Source organism: Homo sapiens, chromosome 12, assembly GCF_000001405.40.
Source record: "Homo sapiens chromosome 12, GRCh38.p14 Primary Assembly".
NCBI classification, from domain to species: domain Eukaryota; kingdom Metazoa; phylum Chordata; class Mammalia; order Primates; family Hominidae; genus Homo; species Homo sapiens.
In genome coordinates this window covers 114,618,161-114,625,614 of record NC_000012.12, presented here as the reverse complement: position 1 = coordinate 114,625,614, position 7,454 = coordinate 114,618,161, and the positions used below count along the sequence as shown (strand labels likewise).

The window sequence follows — 7,454 nt, the reverse complement described above, 5'->3', positions numbered from 1 at the left end:
AGAAAGGTTAATGACTTATTCAAAGTCATGCAGCCAGCTTTATCTAATTCCAGAAGTCTGGGGCTCTTAAACGATTGGCTTTGCTTAAAGTAAGAGGCGCCTGCAATTTCCTTCTATGATCAAACCACACAAAAGCCAGGCTGATTAGACTTTTGAGGTCCCCCAAAGGTCATGACCAGAATTGAGGTGGGCGTAGTGAGGCCCTGCAGATTCTGCTGGAGCTCTGCTGCCCCCTGGTGACAATGCTCTTTCATTGCTTAGATGGTTAGTCCCTTGGCAGCGGCCAGTTGTAGTTAAACTCACACTCTTTAGGTAACAATAAGACTAGCAATGGAATGGTCATTATCTAAATATTTACTGAGACTCTTCACCGAGCGTTACATACACTATCAATCCAAGCCTTGCAACGCAAGAGTTATCCCCATGTCAGAGAGAAGAAACCAGGGCTCAGAGAAGTTAACCCCTCCAAGGTCAAGCGGCTTACTAGTTGCAAAGCTAGAGTTCCATTCCAATTCTCGCTGGTCCTTAAGTGTACACCCTTTCTACTGCCCCATACGTCTTCCTGATCTGGCACAAAGCAACATCCCGGAAATCCTTCAGTAAACTTAATCTGAGCCAAAGACAGTTTGGTACAGAGATCTCAAGTATGGATTCCAGGGTCTGATAGTCCTAATCTTAATCCTGCCTCTGCCACTTTCTTGCTGTATGACCTTGAGGAAGTCACTTGACCTCTCAGAGGGCCATGTGAAAACAGGGATGCGATAAGTAATGCAAGAAAAGGGCTCAGCCCAGGCGCTGGCATTGAAGAGGCAGCCAGTGAACTAAAGCTTCATATCAAGGGAATAACATGAGGCCAGGACTGAGAAATAGCACGAGAATGAGGCCAGTGCACTTAGAAGAGAGGCGGAGAGAGTTTGGGAGAGTCGAGTTGAAACCAGGCTCTGTTACTGACACAATGTGAAGAGGTCCCTTTGCTCTCTGGGACTCTGTTTCCCGTCTGTCAAAGGCATTCTTTCTAAAGCTACTTATTGACATGCAGCCACTGCTCTTGGACTAAGGCAGATGCTGAGCCTCACAATTTTCTCTTTTCTAAAATGAGAACGAAAATATACAACTATTCACAGCATTTTTTTTTTTTGAGACAGAGTCTCATTCTCTCGCCCAGGCTGGAGTGCAGTGGCATGATCTTGGTTCACTGCTACCTCTGCCTCCCAGGTTCAAGCAACCCTCCCACCTCAGCCTTCCAAGTAGCTAGGAATACAGGCACATACCACCACGCGCAGTTTCACCAGGATGGCCAGGCTGGTCTCGAACTCCTGGCCTCAAGTGATCCACCCACCTTGACCTCCTAAAGTGCTGGGGTTACAGGCATAAGCCACTGTGCCCAGCCATATTCACAGTATTCTTATGAGGCATCAAATATGATGGTGCCTGAAAGTGGCTGTTTTGTTAATAAAAGGGGTACATGAGCTCTGGTCTCAGCAGTCAAGGAGAGGAGCTTGGATGTCTTGAGGGAATGAAAAGAGGTAAACTGATGACTAACATTTGTTGAAGGTTTAATATTTAATATTTGCCAAGCACTTTTCTGAGCATTCACAAATATTAACTCATTTAATGGTCACATCAGCTTTATGAGAGAAGCAATTTTACTGGTTGGCTGTTATGGGTGATGGTGGGCCATGTGACCCAGAGTTGGCCAATCACAGATTCCCATGTCCTGGCCTCAGTGATTAGCTCAGGGAGAACCATAAAACCCCAACCTAACCAATAGGATCATTTCTAGGCATTATGTCCCTCAATGCTGGAGGCAAAAGGCTTTTCTTTTTAGCTTTGGGGTGCTGAGGTGATTGATGTCACTCACCTGAAGCTGCCTGGAGCTATGCTGTAGCCAGGAAAACCCAGCTAAATAGCTTTAGAATGAGACCAATGCATTGAGAGGCAAGGCAGAAGAGAGTTAAAGAGGGCTGAGTTGAGACCAGCCAATATTGTTAGAATCTATGTAACCACGTTTTCCTTTCCACATACGTAAATCAGTGAATCTCATTTTTCTCTTAAAGCTAGTTTGAGTTGGGATTCTGTCACATACAACTATTGACTCTCACCAATGCACATATATTAGTCCACTTTCGCACTGCTATAAAGAAATACCCAAGACTGGGTAATTTATGAAGGAAAGAGGTTTAATAGACTCACAGTTCCACCTGGCTGGGGAGGCCTCAGGAATCTTACAATCGTGGTGGAAGGCGAAGGGGAAGCAAGCACCTTCTTCACAAGGTGGCAGGAGAGAGTGAGTGTGAGAAGGAGGAAGTGCCAGACTTTAAAACCATCAGCTCTCGTGAGAACTCACTATCACGAGAACAGCATCGGGGAAACCACCCCCATGATCCAATCGCTTCCCTCCCTCCACACCTGAGGATTACACGTCCCTCCGTAATCCCCACCTCACTGTGGGGATTACAATTGGAGATGAGATTTGGGTGGGGACACAGAGCCAAACCATATCAGCACATACACAAATAATGCTAATAGTTATGGCCACCAACATAGTAATATTAATAATAACGTCCTTCTAGATGATTGGCATTTGACATGGTCTTCAAGACTCAAACATTATCCCCCCTGTGAACCCTTACTGGAGGGACTTCTTCTGGGTGAAGGTAGTCACTTTATAATGAACAGATTTTACACCATTTTCGTCATTGTTGTGTTTTTTATTCTATTGAATTGTAAAGTCAGATGCACCTTGCTTTTACGTCTTCTTGACTTTGCTCATTCTGTTTCTTCCAACTGATTTGTTCTCTTCTTCCCTATCTGTAAGAAATCAGTTTTGCAGTTATAAAGAGGACCAGCTTCTGAATCAAACAGAACTTGGTTCAAATTCTGCCTCTTCTACTTCCTAGCTCTTTGACCTGGGTCAAATCACTTCCCTCTCTGAGCCTCAGTTTTCTCATCCATAAAAATGGGTATTCTAATGGTACATGATACACGGGATTGATGGGATTTGGTTAAATTCTGGAAGTTATCTATAATTGCCAGTGAATTATTTAATATTATTTTATTATGGAAAGCTGTTTCTTGGTGGTGTTTGCGGTTGTGGTCAAAGTTCAATGGAGAGGGGGGTGGATTGGAGGAAATGCCTCTGTTTGAATTTTCCCATCACAAATTTCAATCTAAGTTAATCAGCATGTATATCAGGGGCTTAGCGTAAGCTACCATTTATCCCCAGAGATGAAGGAATTCCCATAAAACCTTAGGCTTCCAAACAAACATCTTCCCACACTCAGCACATCCCATTCCCACAATCTTGGGTCTCTCCAAGGAATACAGCAGCAGCAGGCAGGACATGAATGAGTCCCAATGTGGAGAGACACTTTGCGAGATGCCCATGAAGGACTCTTATTTAAGAAAATAATTCTCGATAAAGTGAAATGTCTCTGTCTGAGTAATCCATTTTAGGGACTGACTTTTGGGTGTCATGGTCCTGATAGCAGATACATAACTTTGATTCTTCCCAGCTTTACCTGGGGTGAGTGTTACTTATCAAAAGCATGTGGGTTCTGCAGCCAGAGAGACATGGGTAGGAATTCTGGTTTCTCCACTTACTTGCAATGTGATCTTGGTCCTTCAAGTCCTAATTCTGCATCTATAAAGCAGGGATATCTTCCAAAGCAGCTGTTTTAAAGATTAAATTAGATGATGTCTCTGCCCAGTGACTTGACACATAGTGTTCCAGGTATCCTTATCTTTGTGGCAAGCTGCCTTAAAACTTAGTGGCTTCAAATAGCAACAATAGCATTTTGCTCATAGATGTACAACCTGGGCAGGGCTTGGTGAAGACTGTTTCTCTCTGCTCCACTCAGCAACAGCTGGGATGGCTCAAAGGTTGTAGGCAGAGATCATCAGAGCGCTCACTCATTCATGTGTCTGCTGGTTGATGTGGGCTGCTGGTTGGTAACTCAATTGAGGCCATTGGCCAGAACATCTACCATGTGGCCTCCCCATGTAGCTTGGGCTGCCTTACAACATGGTAGCTGGATTTCAAGGGTGAATGTCCCAAGCGAGAAAAGGCTCAGATGGAAGCTCTATCATTGTTTATGACCTAGACTCAGAAGTCACACAGCCTTCCTTCTGCAATATTCCATTCACTGAGCCAGTCACAAAGGCCTGCTTAGGTTCAAAAGGAGGAGAAGTAGCTCTGTCTCTCGATGGAAGGGTGCCAAGTTTCTGGAAGAGATTATGGCATCAGAAATATTGCTTTAATCACTTTTGGAAAATACAAATTGCCTTTTTTTTTTTTTGAGACAGAATCTCACTCTGTTGCCCAGGCTAGAGTGCAGTGGCATGATCTCGGCTTACTGCAACCTCCACCTCCCAGGTTCAAGCGATTCTCCTTCCTCGGCCTCCCGAGTAGCTGGGACTACAGGCACATGCCACCACACTCAGTTAATATTTTGTATTTTAGTAGAGATGGGGTTTTACCACGTTGCCCAGGCTGGTCTCAAACTCCTGAGCTCAGGCAATCTGCTCACCAGGGCCTCCCAAAGTGCTAGGATCACAGTGTGAGCCACTGTGCCCAGCTTAAATTTCCTCTTTTAATGGGTGCCAAAGAAAGAGCAATTCTTAAGATCCCTCGCTCTCTGAGCATTACAAATGTATTTTCTTTTTTGTTTGCTTTTTGTTGTTTTTGTTTGTTTGTTGAGACAGGGTCTTGCTCTGTTGCCCAGGCTGGAGTGCAGTGGCACGATCATGGCTCACTGCATCCTTGGCCTCCCAGACTCAAGAGATCCTCCCACTTCAGCCTTGTGAATAGCTGGGACCACAGGCACGCCGCCATGCCTGGCTAATTTTTAAATTATCTGTAGCGACAAGGTCTCACTCTGTTGTCCAGGCTGGTCTCGAACTCCTCTGCTCGGACCATCTGCCCACGGTGGGCAAACTGCTGAGATTACAGGTACTGACCTACACATATATTTTCTAAGACATATATATTCTCTTACCTATAAGACAGGAATAAACAATACCTGCTTTGTGGAGAAGTTGGAAAAATAACAAATAGCATATGAAAAGTCCTGATAGGTAGTAGGTGCTCAATAAAGAGTGATTAAACTAGCAACTCATGGCCAGATATGGTGGCTGACACTTGTAATCCCAGCACTTTGGGAGGCAGAGGTGGGAGGATCACTTGAACCCAAGAGTTCAAGACCAGCCTGGGCAACATAGTGAGACCTTGTCTCTACAAAAAACACAAAAATTAGCCCGGCGTGGTGGCGCACAGCTATAGTCCTAACTACTCGGAAGGCTGGGGTAGGAGGATCGCTTGAGCCCAGGAGGTCTAGGATGCAGTGAGCTATGATCATGCCACTGCACTCCAGCCCAGACAACAGAGTGAGACACTGTCTCAATAAATAAACAAACAAACAAACAAACAAATAAAATAGTAACTCACATTTGAACACATAGATACAGGCAGGGGAACATCACACACCTGGGCCTGTCGGAGGTCGGGGGCAAGGGGAGGGAGAGCATTAGGACAAATACCTAATGCCTGCAGGGCTTAAAACCTAGATGATGGGTTGATAGGTGCAGCAAACCACCATGGCATATGTATACCTATGTAACAAGCCTGCATGTTCTGCACATGTATCTCAGAACTTAAAGTAAAATTTAAAAAAATAGTAACTCATATTTATTGAGCCATTGCCAGGTACCAGGCACTACTTTCTGAACACTTCATTGTATTTTTTTTTATTTAATCCTCAGAAGAACCCTATTATATAGGTCGTATTATTGTTACTATTTTACAGATAAGGAGGCTGTGGCTCAGAGAAGTTAAGCAACAAGCTTAAGGGTCACAGAGCTAGTTATTAGGACTCCCAGGATTCAAACCGAGGCAGTGCCTCCAGAGCATGAATGCTTTCAAACACAACACCATACTTCCTCTTAATGATGTTGTTTTGTTCTCAGTATAAGGGTTTACAGTGTGACCCAGTGGAAATTACTAAACCCATAGACCCAAGAGACAGGAGGTAAGCTAGAAAAGTCAATTAAAGGCTGAGACTTGATGGGCATCTGGTGCCAGTGAGGTGAAGGCTGAGGTTGGTTTGTGCCTTACACAGCCATGATCAATAGATCATGGATGCCTACAAATGACACCCTGAGCAGGTAGACGTGAGGATTCCTGGTCACCTCTTGGCTGAATCCAGCTAGCTACTGAGGCAGTCTTTTCCCAGTATCTGCTCAGCTACCACTTTGCCCTGCCAAGAAGTTGAGCTTTTATTACATATATAATTTTGCCTTGGTTTTATGGCGAAAGTAATATGGATTCATTGTAAAAATGAAAAGGCAAAAGTATATACAGAAAAAAGGAAACATTTTAGCTGGGCATGGTGGCACATGGCTATAGTCCCAGCTACTCAGGAGGCTGAGTGGGGAGGATCCCTTGAGCCCAGGAGGCTGAGGCTGCAGTGAGCCAAGGTGGCACCACTGCACTCCAGTCTGGGTGACGGAGTGAGACCCTGTCTCAAAAAAAAGAAAAAGAAAAAGAAAGTAAAAATTTTCTCTAATCCCTTATCCTCCAATGTCACTCCCCAGAGGAAATCACCATCTGTAGTTTAGTGAGTAGCCTTCCTCATTGTTTTATTTAATTTATTTATTTATTTATGTTTTAGACAGGGTCTCACTCTGGCTGGTTGCCCAGGCTGGAGTGCAGTGGTACAATCATGGCTCATTGCAGCCTCGACCTCCTGGGCTCAGGTGTTTCTCCCACCTCAGCCTCCCGAGCAGCTGAAATTACAGGTGCACGCCACCATGCCTGGCTAATGTTTTAGCAGAAATGGGGTTTTGCTGTGTTACCCAGGTTGGTATCACACTCCTGGACTCAAGCATTCTGCCCACCTTGGCCTCCTCGAGTGCTGGGATTACAGGCATGAGCCACTGCACCTGGCCCTTCGTTTTTTTTTAAATATAGAAAACATTAAATAAGGCAAAACCTATTTTGTTGCAACTTGCTTTTTTTTCTTCTTCCATATAACAATATATCAGGGACCTCTTACCATAACAGTACATCTAAACTGCTGCTGAGTGCTCCATAATACAGCTGTGCTTCTGTTTATTTCACTAATCCCCAGTTCATGGACACTGAGGTTGTTTTCATTTTTTTTGTTGGTTATAACCAATGCTGCAACAATTACATTGTTGTATGCCTGGGTGAGTATTTCTGAAGGATAGATTGTTTTTCAATTTTGTTGTAAATTTTAGATTCAGGGGGTACATGTACAGATTTGTTACATGAGTATGTTGTGTGATGCTGAGTTAGAGATTCAATTGGACCCGTCACCCAAACAGTGAGCATAGTACTTGATAGGTAGTTTTTCAGTTTTGCCTCCTCCCCTCCCTCCCCACTTCTAGAGTGTCTGTTGTCCCCATCTTTATGTCCATGTGTACCCAATGATTAG

The 7,454-nt window shown here is 44.3% G+C and overlaps 1 long non-coding RNA gene across 1 annotated transcript, besides 1 other annotated feature; it reads right to left on the bottom strand.

Annotated features, from left to right (window-relative positions):
- Window positions 1-2,690: 2,690 nt before the first annotated feature.
- On the bottom strand, window positions 2,691-4,218 carry LOC124903026 (uncharacterized). Its single transcript, XR_007063470.1, has 2 exons — window positions 3,604-4,218; window positions 2,691-2,811 (listed from the first exon to the last, which is right to left on the bottom strand). It is a non-coding gene; the product is annotated as an uncharacterized LOC124903026 (long non-coding RNA).
- Window positions 6,690-6,874: a silencer, noted in NCBI's record as "fragment chr12:115056546-115056730 (GRCh37/hg19 assembly coordinates)". NCBI's record gives its function as "represses an EF-1alpha promoter that drives an FKBP-Casp9 reporter gene in an ReSE screen in HepG2 liver carcinoma cells {active_cell/tissue: HepG2}" and the evidence as "EXISTENCE:reporter gene assay evidence [ECO:0000049][PMID:32094911]".